This window comes from Homo sapiens, chromosome 10 (genome assembly GCF_000001405.40).
Source record: "Homo sapiens chromosome 10, GRCh38.p14 Primary Assembly".
NCBI classification, from domain to species: domain Eukaryota; kingdom Metazoa; phylum Chordata; class Mammalia; order Primates; family Hominidae; genus Homo; species Homo sapiens.
In genome coordinates, this window is record NC_000010.11 from 132159698 (window position 1) to 132175023 (window position 15326).

Consider the following 15326-nt stretch of genomic DNA (forward strand, 5'->3'; position numbering starts at 1 on the left):
GCCTCTCCCTGTGTGATGCTGGGGGCATGTCTTCCTGTGTGATACTGGGGGGGCCTCTTCCTGTGTGATACTGGGGGGTCTCTTCCTGTGTGATGCTGGGGGGCCTCTCGCTGTGTGATGCTGGGGGGCCTCTCCCTGTGTGATGCTGGGGGGCCTCTCCCTGTGTGATGCTGGGGGGGTCTCTTCCTGTGTGATGCTGGGGGGTCTCTTCCTGTGTGATGCTGGGGGGGGGTCTCCCTGTGTGATGCTGGGGGGGCCTCTTCCTGTGTGATGCTGGTGGGGGTCTACTTCTATGTCTTACTGGGGGGGGCCTCTCCCTGTGTGATGCTGGGGAGCCTCTTCCTGTGTGATGCAGGCGGTGGCCTCTTCCTGTGTGATGCTGGGGGGGTCTCTTCCTGTGTGATGCAGGCGGTGGCCTCTTCCTGTGTGATGCTGGGGGGGGTCTCTTCCTGTGTGATGCTAGGGGGTCTCTTCCTGTGTGATGCTGGGTGGGCCTCTCCCTGTGTGATGCTGGGTGGGCCTCTCCCTGTGTGATGCTGGGGGGGGCCTCTCACTGTGTGATGCTGGGGGGGCCTCTTCCTGTGTGATGCTGGGGGGGGTCTATTCCTGTGTCTTATTGAGGGGGCCTCTCCCTGTGTGATGCTGGGGAGCCTCTTCCTGTGTGATGCTGGGGGGGGTCTATTCCTGTGTCTTATTGAGGGGGCCTCTCCCTGTGTGATGCTGGGGAGCCTCTTCCTGTGTGATGCTGGGGGGGTCTCTTCCTGTGTGATGCTGGGGGACCTCTCCCTGTGTGATGCTGGGGGGGCCTCTCCCTGTGTGATGCTGGGGGGGCCTCTCCCTGTGTGATGCTGGGGGGGTCTCTTCCTGTGTGATGCTGGGGGGTCTCTTCCTGTGTGATGCTGGGGGGGGGGTCTCCCTGTGTGATGCTGGGGGGGGCCTCTTCCTGTGTGATGCTGGTGGGGGTCTACTTCTATGTCTTACTGGGGGGGGCCTCTCCCTGTGTGATGCTGGGGGGGCCTCTCCCTGTGTGATGCTGGGGGGGTCTCTTCCTGTGTGATGCTGGGGGGTCTCTTCCTGTGTGATGCTGGGGGGGGGGTCTCCCTGTGTGATGCTGGGGGGGGCCTCTTCCTGTGTGATGCTGGTGGGGGTCTACTTCTATGTCTTACTGGGGGGGGCCTCTCCCTGTGTGATGCAGGCGGTGGCCTCTTCCTGTGTGATGCTAGGGGGTCTCTTCCTGTGTGATGCTGGGTGGGCCTCTCCCTGTGTGATGCTGGGTGGGCCTCTCCCTGTGTGATGCTGGGGGGGGCCTCTCACTGTGTGATGCTGGGGGGGCCTCTTCCTGTGTGATGCTGGGGGCGTGTCTTTCTGTGTGATGCTGGGGGGGCCTCTTCCTGTGTGATGCTGGGGGGGGTCTATTCCTGTGTCTTATTGAGGGGGCCTCTCCCTGTGTGATGCTGGGGAGCCTCTTCCTGTGTGATGCTGGGGGGTCTCTTCCTGTGTGATGCTGGGGGACCTCTCCCTGTGTGATGCTGGGGGGGCCTCTCCCTGTGTGATGCTGGGGGGGCCTCTCCCTGTGTGATGCTGGGGTGGTCTCTCCCTGTGTGATGCTGGGGTGGTCTCTCCCTGTGTGATGTTGGGGGGGCGGTCTCCCTGTGTGATGCTGGGGGGGCCTCTTCCTGTGTGATGCTGGGGGGGGTCTATTCCTGTGTCTTACTGGGGGGGGCCTCTCCCTGTGTGATGCTGGGGAGCCTCTTCCTGTGTGATGCAGGCGGTGGCCTCTTCCTGTGTGATGCTGGGGGGGTCTCTTCCTGTGTGATGCTGGGGGGCCTCTCCCTGTGTGATGCTGGGGGGGGTCTCTCCCTGTGTGATGCTGGGGGGTATCTCTCCCTGTGTGATGCTGGGGGGTGTCTCTCCCTGTGTGATGCTGGGGGGTGTCTCTCCCTGTGTGATGCTGGGGGGTATCTCTCCCTGTGTGATGCTGGGGGGTATCTCTCCCTGTGTGATGCTGGGGGGTATCTCTCCCTGTGTGATGCTGGGGGGTATCTCTCCCTGTGTGATGCTGGGGGGTGTCTCTCCCTGTGTGATGCTGGGGGGTGTCTCTCCCTGTGTGATGCTGGGGGGGGCCTCTTCTTGGGTGAAGCTAGGGGGTCTTTTCTTGGGTGATGCTGGGGGGGCCTCTTCCTGTGTGATATTGGGGGGGCCACTTCCTGTTTGATGTGTGGGCCTCTCTCTCCACTTCCAACAGGAAGGCCCCCTTGTTTGGGATGCTCCGAGTTTTCTGAGTTCACTGTTGATTTCCTTCCCTTTCCCTGCACACTCGCCCGGTTCTCTCCTATGTCGTTCATGGTGTGGCTCTCGGTCGCTCGGGTGCCCTCAGGTGACCCACAGGCCTGTGAGCACCGAGGTTTTTTTCTGCACTTCCTGCTCTGCTTCTGGGAGACACTGGGGCAAGGAGGGGAATGACTGGTTCCTCCTGGGGCAGTGGTGGCTCTTTATGGCAGGGGCTAGTGCCGACTTTGCCTCTCTGGACATGGGTGTGGGAGACCGTGGTCTGTGTGGCTGCCGAAGGCAGGGAGGCTCATCCAGGCAGCCCACAGTTCGTGTCACCACGGAGGTCCTGATGAGCACCTCCCACCACCAGGTGCACGTGAAGCCACCATGAGGTTAATTCCAAGCCAGCACTTGACCAGGTTTATTTTTAGAAGCTGGAGCTCATCTTAAAGGCACCAAGCTCTTTTGCTCTAAGAAGTGGAGGTTGACATGTGAGCTGGTTGTGACTGTAAGAAGTGGAGGTTGATGTGCGAGCTGGTTGTGACAGCTGGGGACAGTTTATTTTGTGGCCGCCAAGAACAATAAAGTGTAACTGAGGCCCAAAAGCATTTGTTTCCATTTCCTAATATTTCTGCTATCTCTGAAGATGTTACATTTGGTTGGGAAGAAAGAGCCTCTGTAGTGTGAGAATTTGTTTTTTACAAAGATTGTATCAATAAAATTTGCCTAAGAAAAGCTTTGAAATATACAGAGCAAACTGCCAAACCCCAGGAATTCATGAAAAGGTGTGTATTTTGGCTGCTGGGTTATTATGTATTTTGGCTGCTGGTTATAGCACCAGGATCGGGTTCCATGGGTCTGTGAATTGGATTTGGGGAGGCAGCGTGTGACCCCACACTCAGCTCCCTCCCACCTTGCTGTATCCCCACAGGCCACCTGCAGCCCCTCCACCTCCCACTCAGCTTCCCCACTTCATAGCTCAGTCCTCCCCCACTCTGGGGTCAGGGTCCTGGCTCTTGCTGGCCTGGTCAGCGTCTCTGCTTCTAGGGTCTTCTCACAGACTGGGGAGGTCCGTGGGGCCCCTGGTCCTTCTGCAGAGGCCACAGCACTGGGTCCCTCCCTGTTGCATATCCTCTTGGCCCTGCTCCCAGGCGGAGGGTGGCCCGGCCTCCGTTGCCCTTCCTGAAAGGTTTGTTCTGGGGAGAAGGCAAGGACTAAGGCGTCTCCCCTTCCGCCCCAGCACATCCTGGAGCTGGAAGCCATGCTGTATGATGCCCTGCAGCAGGAGGCCGGGGCTAAGGTGGCTGAGCTGCTGTCAGAGGAGGAGCGCGAGAAGCTCAAGGTGGCCGTGGAGCAGTGGAAGCGCCAGGTCATGAGTGAGCTGCGCGAGCGGGACGCCCAGATCCTGCGGGAGCGCATGGAGCTGCTGCAGCTGGCTCAGCAGGTGTGTGGCAGGCGGGGGCAGGGCTGGCGTGAAGACCTGGCCAGGACCTGCACAGAGCCAGGGGGGGTCCTCCCACGGCCACACCTCCAACCACTACCCCTCTGTGGCCCCACCCTCCAGTGGCCACACCCCTCATAACACACACTCTGATGGCTACACCCTGATGGCCATGCCCCCAAACCGTCACGCCTTCCACACAGAGCCTTGGATGGCCACACCTTCTGATGATCATGCCCCAGAATGGCCACGCCCCCTGCTGGCCACACCCTCTGATGGCCACACCCCTGGTGGCCATGCCTGTCAATGGCAGGCACTCAGGCCAGACTGCCTCCCCTACCAGCCTAGTGTCCTGGGCGTGTTGCGGAGGCCTCTGGGTGGCAGTTCCCCTCTTTTGGACCCCTGGGTACTGTCTTTTCCGTGACACTGTTTCCTGATGGCAAGGATGTTCTCTGGGGACAGCAGCCCAAGGCCTGCCTTTGCCTCAGGGCACTGTGGGACCTCAGGCCTGTTGGGTCAGTTCTGCTCTAATGGGAGGTGAGAAGCCCTGCTGACTAGATGGCCTGGATGTGTAGGACACGGCCCAGCTTCTCCGTGAGCCAGGTTGGCTGGGAGGCGGCTTTATGGATGTATTCCTTGTTAAGAACACCACTAGCGAAGGCTTAGTTGAAATTCACATAAACAAGTGTGCTGTGTGCCAGCTGGCTGTGGGCATCGGTGGGTTAATGTTGGCCATGCTCTGCTGGCTCCTCATTAGCCTCCTGGGCCTCTTTGGTCTCCAGGGGCTCAGGGTGAGGACAGTGACCTGCAACCCCTTTGCTGCCTCAGAGGGGCTGTGGTTGGAGCTCGGATGCTTGGGGGACCCCAGGCGCCAGCATCCCCCTCACCGGGAGGCTCTCTCTGTGCCCAGCTCTCCTGCGACCCTCTGGCGGCCCCTTACTCCGCTGCGGTGGCATCTGGGGGACCGGGAATCCATTCCTACCATTTCCCTGGCTGTCAGGCGTTGTGCTTTCTGAGTTGAAGTTGCAGGAATTGGAAGGATATTGTTCCCACCACGGGGAGTGTGGCATGGCGAAGACCCTCCACTCTCCTGCCAGAGCAGTGCAGCAAAGGCTTGTGTCCTCGTCAGGAGCCACGGGCCATGGCCATGCCAGCTGCTCTGCGACGATCTGTTACCAAGGAAATGAATGAAAATCTTGAAGGATTTGGGTTTCCCGAGTACTGTGACTATTGAAGATGTTCTTCCTTTTAATCTTGCAGAGAATTAAAGAGTTAGAAGAAAGAATAGAAGCTCAGAAGAGACAAATAAAGGAACTGGAGGAAAAGGTAAAACAAATGCAGTTTTGGGGGTTGCTTGTTAAGATCAAGGGAGAGGAACCCGGTGTCACCCCGACCTGAGTCACTCAGCTCCAGGCCGTTGGGGCAGCAGACTTCGCTCCCAACAGCAGCGGGAAGCGGCCGCCTGGAGGCCTGAAGGCTGGGCGGAGCTGAGCTGGGCGGAGCTGAGCTGGGTGGTAGCTGCAAGGGCTCTGGACCCGGAGACAGGAGCCCCAGGGTCTAGGAATGCCCCTGCCAGGGCCCAGCCATGCGACCGCAGAGGAGCCACTCCTCTTGTGGCCTCAGTTTCCCCATCTGGAGCCAACGGCCTCGGGTTCCTCCCATCACTGAAGCCTGGGCTGTGTGGAAGCCTTTGATCCGTGCAGGTTCACCTTGCACTGGTCTAAGAATCCAGTTCCCGGATCAGAAGCACCCGTTGACGTGCAGTTAGGCAGAGGCCACACACCAGGGCTGGGGAGGGCTGTCTGGCTCTTTCTCGGGGTCCCAGCTCCGTGAGGTGTGGGGTCAGGGCTGCTCTGTCCATGCACATAACAGACTTGGTGCTCCCCAAGTCAGGATGAGGGGAGCACAGCAGAGTCTCTCCCGGGGTTGCCTGCAGGCGTTCAGGGCAGCGCTTGTTCTCCCACGTGGGGCTGGTTCAGTCATGTCTGGGGGTGACAGTGTTCACTCCATTGTGATTGGTCCTGGGGGCCCGGCTCCCGACCCCCAGCTCAGAGTGAGACTTTTTGCTAAATCTGCTATGCGGTGGAGCTCACTGAAGGGACGGGCTCCCTCCGAGGGCTGAATGAAATGGTCAGTGGCCCCACCTTCTGCCTCATCCTTCCGGAGAGAACAGGAGGCTGGCATTGGGATGCCCCTGTGGTTGGCATGTGCTGGTCCCGGCCTGAGGAGGAGCCCACAGATGCTCTGCAATTGCCAGGAGAGACCGGGTCCCTCTGGACAGCAGTCGCCTTAGACGGGCCGTGTGTCATCCCACATCCACCCTAGCCCTGCCCCGCCCCTCGTAGGCGGTGACACCCATGCCCTTCCACTGGGCACTCACTGCCGCCTGTGAGAATCATCATCCTGAGGAACGAGTTACTCAAGGCACAGCCTTTGAGGCCCCGGTGGACTCCAGGCCACGTGGGGAAGCACCCACTAGCACGCAGGGGCACCCGGCCTTGCCGGGAGGGGACACAGTGTTCTGGGGGCTGGAGCCTCAGAGGGCAAAGCCTCTCCCCAAACCAAATGTCTGTTTCATTTTGCATCTTAACCTAAGGATATTTGTTTGTATTAAATACTAGAAAAATGTGAGGGCTAGGCGTGGTGGCTCATGCCTGTAATTCCAGTACTTTAGGAGGCCTAGATGGGAGGATCGCTTGAGCCCAGGATTTCAAGACCAGCCTGGGCAACATAGTGAGACCCTGTCTCTAGAAAAAAATTTTAAAACATAGCTGGACATGGTGGCACGTGCCTATAATCTCCGTTACTCAGGGGGCCGAGGTGGGAGGATCACCTGAGCCTGGGAGGTTGAGGCTGCAGTGAGCCATGATTACGTCACTGCACTCCAGACTGGGTGACCGACTGAGATCCTGTCTCCAAAGAAAAAAATAGATCAGGTGTTATTTCTTAAATCTAGCTAAATAGCTCTTCATTCCCAAGCGATGCCCCACTGCCCGATTTTCTCTCGTGTCCAGATGGGCCTGGCTCCCGACCCCCAGCCCAGAGTGAGACTGTGTGCGCTTTGTCTGCTCAGGGTGCTGGTTGTACTTTGCTGCTTACGGTGGGACTGAGACCACAATATTCTCACAGGCCTGCTTTTGTTTGCTGGGCACTTGGAATGTCTTTCAATACAACGTTCACCATTATTATTACCCCATTGGTGCTCTTGCCAAAAATTCCTGCAGCAGGTCTCAGCGATGGGTTTCACTTCAGGGAGGAGGAGACCCAGTCCCCGGGAGGCTGGCCTTGTGGTGCTGGGGACACGCTGGGTGTGGGGCCCCTGACCAGCGCCCACCACCCGCATCTGCCCGGTGCAGAGTCCCCAGTGCGTTCCTAGGGGTGGCGGCACCACCCCTCAGACCCGGGGATTTGGGCAGCATCCCTCCCTCGGCACAGTCCTTAATAGCGTCCTCTCCTCCCTGCCAACAGCTCTGTCTTCAGTCTGTAATCGCGTGTATTTCTTGCCAGAAGCACTACAAACTCTTTTTTCTCTTTCTTTCCTTCCGTTTCTCCATCCTCCCCTTTCCGTTTCAGTTTCTATTTTTGTTCTTATTTTTCTCCTTAGCTTTCATTCTCTGGTCATAGTCCGTCTTGGCACCCTGACGTGGTGAGTATTTCGTTGGCAGGGCCCAGCAGGGGTCCCGCTCTGCTTCCCGGAAGACTCCTCTGCCCCTGCCCTGCCAGGGAGTTGCCCACCTGCCATTCGATCAACTGGAAGGCGATGACCCAGCATCCCCAAAAGGGTTGTTAGAAAGCCACCCGCGTCCTTCAACACTGGAAGTCCCTCCCTGGGGGTCAGGACCCGGAGTCTTCCACTGTAGAGGCCGCAAGGTGCTCACCTTTCCTGAACGGGAAGGAGAGCAGGGTTCCCACCACCACCCCAGTGTAGCAGAAACATGCAGGACCCTCTCTAGGGGGTCTTTCTGCTTTGGTGGCACTCGGCAGCAGGCCCTGGGGGCAGACACGGTGGTTCTGTGATTCGTCCTTGTTCTTTTCTGGGTGGTGCTGAGCACAAGCTCGGGCGGTGCTGGAGATTCAGCCAGGAGGGCTTGGTCTCCCTGCCAGGCCGGGCAGCTTAGGCCAGGATAGCTGGAGTCTACAGGTCATGGCTGCTGCTACCATGGCACCCGCCAGCATAGATGGCTGCCTCCTTCCAAACTGGAGGAGGGGCAAGTAGGACGTCACATCATTGTTCGCCTCGGTCCTCGAGTCTGCACCCTTCAGCAGGTCCCGAGAGGAGCTTCCCCTGGGAGCAGGGCTCTCCCTCTCCATGAAGCCCCTCATCCCTCACCCCTTACCCCTCACTCCAGCCAAGTGGAGTCTCCCTGACATCCTCTCCACGCAGCCCTTCGGTCCTCACCCCTCACCCCTCGGCCCTCACCCCTCGGCCCTCGCCCCTCGCCCCTCACCCCTCGGCCCTCGCCCCTCGCCCCTCGGCCCTCGCCCCTCACTCCAGCCAAGCGGAGCCTCGCTGACTCTGCACTCTACGTTTCATTTCTTCCAGCCCCACATTGAATCGGACCCTTTTCCTCCAGTGGGACCAGAAAGCAGGGACAAAATGGGACGTCGCGTCTCCATCCTGAAGACCCAGGGAGATTTGGTCTCTGCACGCCCGTCCCGTGGAGGAAGAGTGAGAAGGGGCAGTGTGTGGGGCGTGGAGCTGCCGTCCACGTGGGATGTGCCAGAACTAGAACTGGCTCTGCCGACTTCTCGGGGGCTTCTCCGGGACGGGCCTGGCCTTGGCTGCTGGACCCTGGGTCCCTTCTCCCGGACGGCAGCCCCCATCCCATTTCCAGGGATGTGTAGCATTCCCTGCCAAGCAGGGGTGAGAACTGCTTCTGTGCAGAAGCACCAGCCGCGGGTCCCCTCCTCTCTCTTGGTTCTCACAGTAGCTGCCACTGGTGTCTGGAGGAAGATTTTCAGAAACAACAGAGGCTTGGCCTGATGACAAGATGAAAGCTGGACGGTGACCTTCATTCAGGGGAACCTGGAGGCTCCCTGGGATGGTCCTGGGAGGGCTCCCCGACGCCTCAGGGGCCCCTCCGATGCTGCAATATGTTGCTGGGGTCCTGAGCACCCGCTGGCCAACAGACCCCACATCCACCCTCGTTCATCATCATCTCTGTGGGGACAGACAAGAGCCGTGGCCGCCGCGGGCCGCGTGGTGCCATCAACCCTCTGCCTCCCTACTCAACCTGAGACAGGAAGGCCAAGATCCCGCCCAAGCCGCCAGCTGGGAGCACCGCGGGACTGAGCCAAGGAAGGCGTGGGGAGCGTGGTGACAGGAGGTGGGACGAGGGGGCGGAGCTGGCTGGAACACGGATGCCAGAGGCTGCCTCCATAGTGAATCTCCAGAAGTCACAGAGGCCCTGGGCACCCAGAGCCACCCAGCCTGGAAGCCCCTGCACGGGCCAGCCCTGCAGGCCATGGACCCCGGCGGGCACCGAAGCCTCACCCCAAGCCTTTGCACACAAGGAGCAGCCCAGGTGGGGATGGCGGGCGCAAGAAGGGAACCGCGGGGACGGCCTTTCCCCTCCCGCCCTGTGTGGGGACGCTGCACGAGCCGTGGACCAAGAGGCTGACAGGTAAGGGCTGCCATCTGTCCGCGGGGAGGGCCTTTGCACCCTCCCTGCGAGGTGAGCTCCAGCTTCTTCACACCTCTGTGTCCCCGTCTGCACATGCGTGACGCTGCCACCCCGTCCACTGCTGACCCGTCAAGATCACCTCTCCCGCCACTGACGGGACAGGGCCTGGGGGCTGGTGTGGAGCGTGGCGTGAGCTGTCGCTGGGGCAGGGTCTGCAGACATGGTGCTCCACGGGGACCTGGCGTCTGGCAGAGCTGGTCCTCCTCCCACTTGCAGGAGGAGGCTTGCGGGAAAAGGGAGAAACCCCGTAGGTGCAATGAGGCCGCTCTCCGAGTGCGCCTCCCTCCGCTGCTCCCGTGCACTTGAACGTGGACGCCGCCCCACACTCGGCCCCGGCACCTGAGGTGTCCGCTCTGGGGAGGCGACTCTGGGTGCTCCCAGCAGGGAGGGAGGGAGGTCAGGACTCTGGGCATGCTCCACCGTGGAGCTTTCCTCGCCAGCGGGGTTCCCTATGGGAGGGTTTGTGGATCCGTTGTGTCTGTGGGACTCAGCGGGGCCCTGGGGCAGGGTGAGCCGGTTCTTGGGGAGGCAGTGGCAGCCCCATGGGGGGCCGCCCAGGGAGCGCTCCATCTCCCCCACCTCCGACCCACACCGTGTCTGAGAGCCACCTGTGTCTCCTGCAGTGGGCAGCGGCTGTGGGCCACGGGCACTGTTGTTCCCGGGAGATGCTCCCTGCGTAGAAAATGGGAGGGGGAGGAGGAGGTGCGACCACCACCCTGGACTCAGGAGAGGGCGGCAGCTCCATCTTCACCCTTGACTCAGGAGGGGTCCGCAGCGAGGAGGAGGTGCGAAGGGGGCGGCGGCTCCGTCTTGCAGGTCCCCTGGGGCGCGTTCTTCAGGTGCGTGGTGGACGAGGCGGCGTCCTCGCGGGGTCGGGACCTGGGTACCCAGCAGCATCTGGCTCCTGCATCCACCAAGGGCGCCCAGGCACAGCCTCAGGCCAGAAGGTTCGCTGCAGAGGTTCATTCTAGAAGGAGCGGGAGACCAGCAGTCCCAGCCCTGTCCAAGGACGCCCGCTGCTTGGCACACGAGGGCGCCGCAGGCCCACCATCCCTCAGGACATGGCTGCCGAGTCCCCAGAGACTTCTGGTCCCACAGCAAGAGCTGGAGCTCCAAGCATAACATCTCTAACTGTGCGGCAAGGACAGCGCAGCCAGAGGTCGGGAGCTCCACAGCCTCCAGGGTCCCCCGAGGGCGGCTGGGGACAGGGAACGCCCCACAGCACAACAACACACACGGCGTGGACATACGCACCTCCCCGCCATACGAACCTCCCCGCGGAGGCTTCCCGGCTGCCTCACTCCCACCCCCTGCGGGCCAGGCCTCACAGCAGGGGCAGGTGGACCATCCAGGCCATGCTAAGCCCCGAGCAGGTTCCCACAACAGGTCACAGAGGGGACGCCGGGTCAGGAGATGGGGGCCTGGGGAGCAAGGCCCCCCACAGCTGCCCTCGGTGACATCTGGGACTTGGACATCCATGGACGGCATCCCTGGATGGAGCCATTTCCTGGGTACTGGACCTGGAGGTGACTCGGAGCTTCTCCTGCTCCCAGCGTGTGTCCATGGGGGCGGTCAGGGTAGACAGGCCACACCGTCATCAGGGAGGGGCAGCCGGCCGCCAACGTGCAGACTGTGTCTCAGGCCTGTCGGCATGGCGGGGACAGAGGTGGGTGGGCGCCGCTCCGCTCGGGGGCTGACAAGCCACAGGCTCATTGTGGACAAGGCGTCTGTACAGCTCCGCACAGAAGACTTCTCAGCCAGTCCCGTCAGCCTCCCGGGATCAGGGAGTGAGCCTCGAATGCTAGATCAGAAAGGAAAACGTGTGAGTCAATTGGCCCCAAGCGTCACGTTGCACCAGGCAGAGCTGTCAGCCCCAGATGCTCGTGGAGGGCTGTCACCCAACCCTGCAGCTAACCCAGGGGTGGGGAAACCTGTGAGCAGAAACCTGTCCCCGCTGGAGCACCAGAAGCAATGCCTTCTTGAGCATGTTCAGTCAAGTGAGGAGAGGAGAGCGATGCCTTTGCAGGCTCCCTTGGGGGAGGTTACGGAGCGGGGACTTTGGGCCGAGGCCGCCAGCTCACAGGGCTCCTCTGAAGCGAGGCGGCTGTCATCCTCTCGGGATCCTCTCCCACCGCGTCTGCTCCGAGTGTGCAGTCTCCAGCGTGAGTTTGAAGGGTGTCAGGAAAGAGCTACTACCTAAACTTGCAGCCAGCAAGGGGCTTTTGTGCCCTAGTCCCCACTCCCAGCCCTGGACCACCAACCCCACACCCATGGGAAGCAGAGGGCCCCTCACCCACAGCCCGGCAGGTGCACTGTGCGCCCTGCTCTGTGGTAGAGGAATTGCGACAATGTCCGTCCGAGTGTATTTTTGCCCAGTAAATGAGACGCGAGACGTTACTGTGCTGTCCCAGTGAGCATCTCCCTTCTCTCCAATTAGCTTTTTTCCCCAACTGTTTATTTTGAAATAATTTTAGACTTAAAGTTGCACAAATTGTGTAGAGAGTCCTGTGTACCCTTCAGCCTGCTTCCCCTGATGTCCCTGTCTTATTTTTTTCTTTCTTTTTTTTTTTTTTTTTTGAGACAGGGTCTTTCTCTGTCACCAGGCTGGAGTTCAGTGGCGCGATCTCGGCTCACTGCAACCTCCTCCTCCTCCTGGGTTCAAGCAATTCTCCTGCCTCAGCCTCCCGAGTAGCGGGGATTACAGGCAGGCACCACCACACTCAGCTAATTTTTGTATTTTTAGTAGAGACGGGGGTTTCACCATGTTGGCCAGGATGGTCTCAAACTCCTGACCTCGTGATCTGCCTGCCTCGGCCTCCCAAAGTGCTGGGATTACAGGCATGAGCCCCTGCGCCCGGCCTGTCCCTGTCTTGCATAATCATGATAGATTTTCAAAACTTAACTCAGCCACACCCTGGGTTCTGGTTTCTCCAGGTTTCCTCCTGGCAAATGCTCCTTTCTGTTCCAGGACCCCACGTTGCATTCACTCATCCTGTCTCTGTAGTGCCTGCCATCAGTGACACTTTTTTAGTTCTTCCTCGTCACTCTTGGCCTCGACGCTTGGATAAGAACTGGCGGGTTATTTTGTAGAAGGTTCCTCAGGAGGATCTGCCTGGCCTGTGGTTCCGTGGAGATAATGCATCTGGGGGGCATGCCCCAGGAGTGATGGACCCTAAGTACCACACCAGGGTGCCCGAGATGGGTGTGTTTCATCACTGAGGCCGTAACCTTGATCACTTGCCTAAGGGGGTGTCTGCCAGGGTCTCCACTGAGAAGGAGTCCTTTGTAATCTATGCGTGTACTGGGGGAGATTCGCCGAGACTGAAAACACCACGTTTCTCTGTGAACGTTGCCCCGATCTCCGCACCCGTTGGTGGATCTTCCCTGCAGCATGTCTTCCTGTGGGGACGTGCTCTCCCCCTTCCTTCTATTTCATTGGTTAGAATTTTCCTATAGAGAAGACCTGCCCCTTTTCTCCTATTTCTTTGCTTATGTATCGCACTGTATGCTTCCAGCCGTTCAGTCTGTCCCTGGGTCGTGGCCCAGCCAGGCTGTTAATGTCTCTTCACCCAGACGCTGCCACGGAGCCTCCAGCGCTCCTCCAGGCCGGCGCCCTGCAAAGCACTCTCTTCCTCTCTGTCCCCACAAGGCGGGGTCCATAACCCCTTCCCCAGGGAGCTCTGGCTTCTGTGTTGGAGAGCAGTGTGCAGAAACCAAGGTCTCTGGACCTGGGTGTGCTTGTTGCTACTGGGGTGACAGTATTTCTAGGCTGTCTCAGAGACAGCCTGGAAATACATGTGCAAACCAACCTGTGCACACCCACACACCTGTGCTTCCCGCCTTCCCTCTCTACTTCCTTCTCTCTCTCCTTCCCTCTCTCTCCTTCCCTCTCTCTCTCTCTCCTTCCCTCTCTCTCTCTCTCCCTCTCTCTCTCCTTCCCTCTCTCTCTCCCTCTCTCTCTCCTTCCCTCTCTCTCTCCCTCTCCTTCCCTCTCCCCTCCTTCCCTCTCTCTCTCCCCCTCCCCCTCCTTCCCTCTCTCTCTCCCCCTCCTTCCCTCTCTCTCTCTCTCTCTCTCTCCCCCTCCTTCCCTCTCTCTCTCTCTCTCCCCCCCTCCTTCCCTCTCTCTCTCATCATCTACCTACCTATCTATTGCTGTTACAAAACCACAAGTTCTTAGTGATGCCTCCAATTCCAGGCCAATGGTGTGTGGTTCTTCGCAGCCATCTTCCCCTCCTTGTTTGTGACACTGGCGGTAGCAGATACTTGGCGCTTGCTGTCTGCAATGTACCTGCTCATCTGTGCGGCCCTGGCATACACCCATGTTGCCTCAGGATTGCTAACCCAGACCCTGTAGGAAACAGATGCCCCAGCTGGAGCACAATTCCTTTCCCCCCAGCCTCACGGTGTCCACACACAACACTGTTTTCCAAACAACTCAGGTGGGGTCTCTTCTTACCCACCCTCCCTAGGGCTGCTCATTTGTAATACAGCCAGGTGCCTTTGTACAGCTGATATTTCATTCATGTTTCTTCACATATTGACTCTTTGAAAAAATTTACATGTAGTACAATTGACTATGGTATGCTTGTGGTGGTGTGTGGTGGCCTGTGGTATGTTCATGGTGGTGTGTGTGTGGTGTGTCTGTGGTGGTCTGTGGTGTGTCTCTGGTGGTCTGTGGTGTGTCTGTGATGTGTTAGTGGTGGTGTGTGGTGGCCTGTGGTATGTTCATGGTGGTGTGTGTGTGGTGTGTCTGTGGTGGTCTGTGGTGTGTCTCTGGTGGTCTGTGGTGTGTCTGTGATGTGTTAGTGGTGGTGTGTGGTGGCCTGTGGTATGTTCATGGTGGTGTGTGTGTGGTGTGTCTGTGGTGGTCTGTGGTGTGTCTCTGGTGGTCTGTGGTGTGTCTGTGGTAGTGTGTGGTGTGTCTGTGATGTGTTAGTGGTGGTGTGTGGTGTGCCTGTGGTGGTCTCTGGTGTGTCTGGTGGTTTCTGGTGTGCTTGTGGTGGTGTGTTTGTGGTGTGTGTGGTGTGTCTGCAATGGCTTTCTCGGTTGTGACCCATGCACAGTGCATGCATCCACCAACCCAGCCCCAACACAGACCGTCCCATCCCCAAGCTGCCTCCTGCTGCCTGTGCAGTGGCCCCTTCCTGGCAGCCCTGACCTGTTTCTCATTGTGTCAGTTTTGCCTCTTCCACATCAGGTAAATAGAGTCACATAGTGCAGCTTTGGGGATCTGGCTGTGTTTACGTTCAGCAAAACCCACATAAGGTTCCTTGTGCTGTGTGGCTCTGTGGGCTTGGTGGGCTCAATGGCCTCCGTGGCCTCCGTGGGCTCAGTGGGCTCCGTGGGCTCTGTGGGCTCCGTGGGTTTTCCTTCTGTTCCCGAGCGGAATCCCCTCGGGTGAAAGGACCACAGTGCACCAGGGGCTTGTTGAAGGACGTCAGGGTGGTTTCCGGTTTGGGGCAAATGTGAACAAAACTGCTATAATGTGTGACAGGTTTTTTCACGAAAGCAAGTCTTCTTTCTCTTGGGTAAATACCTAGGATTGGGTCTGCTGGATTACATGGTGAGTGCATGCTTACTTTTTATAAGTAACTGTTGTCCAGAGTGACTGTTCCATTTTGCATTTCCACCGGCGCTGGGAGGATTTCCGTTGCCCCACACGCAACGTCTTCACAGGTTAGGCTGGTTCTCCTTATTTGGTCCCTTCCAATAGAGGGGGAGTGGCATCTTATTTGGGGTTTCATTTGCATCTTGCTACTGACTAATGATGTTGAGCATCTTTTTGTGTGTTGATTTTCCATCCTTATACCTTCTTTGGTGAAACATCTGTTCAGATCATTTGCCCATTTTTGTATTGGGTTGTTTGCTTTGTTATTCCTGAGTTTTGAGAGGCTCTTCCTCTATTCTGGATACGTGCCATTATCAGATAC

At 58.7% G+C, this 15326-nt stretch overlaps 1 protein-coding gene across 46 annotated transcripts in view, besides 1 other annotated feature; it reads left to right on the top strand.

Moving 5' to 3' along the window:
- The window catches only part of JAKMIP3 (Janus kinase and microtubule interacting protein 3), a 148495-nt gene that overhangs the window by 123334 nt on the left and 9835 nt on the right, over positions 1-15326 (top strand). For 23 of the 46 annotated variants that reach the window (NM_001392043.1, NM_001392055.1, NM_001392044.1 and 20 more), the window contains 4 exons: positions 3512-3715; positions 4973-5038; positions 7286-7358; positions 8256-9336. In NM_001392043.1, coding sequence (NP_001378972.1) covers positions 3512-3715; positions 4973-5038; positions 7286-7336 — 321 coding nt within the window. In that variant the 3' untranslated portion in view covers positions 7337-7358; positions 8256-9336. Of the gene's footprint in view, positions 1-3511; positions 3716-4972; positions 5039-7285; positions 7359-8255; positions 9337-10019; positions 11559-15326 lie in introns of those variants that run through there. The other 23 variants (XM_011539676.3, XM_047425106.1, XM_047425107.1 and 20 more) reach the window with 11 other exon arrangements.
- Positions 3806-4505: an enhancer, noted in NCBI's record as "H3K27ac-H3K4me1 hESC enhancer chr10:133977007-133977706 (GRCh37/hg19 assembly coordinates)". NCBI's record gives its function as "activates a minimal SCP1, AML or CMV promoter by ChIP-STARR-seq in naive H9 embryonic stem cells {active_cell/tissue: H9 hESC(naive)}" and the evidence as "EXISTENCE:reporter gene assay evidence [ECO:0000049][PMID:30033119]".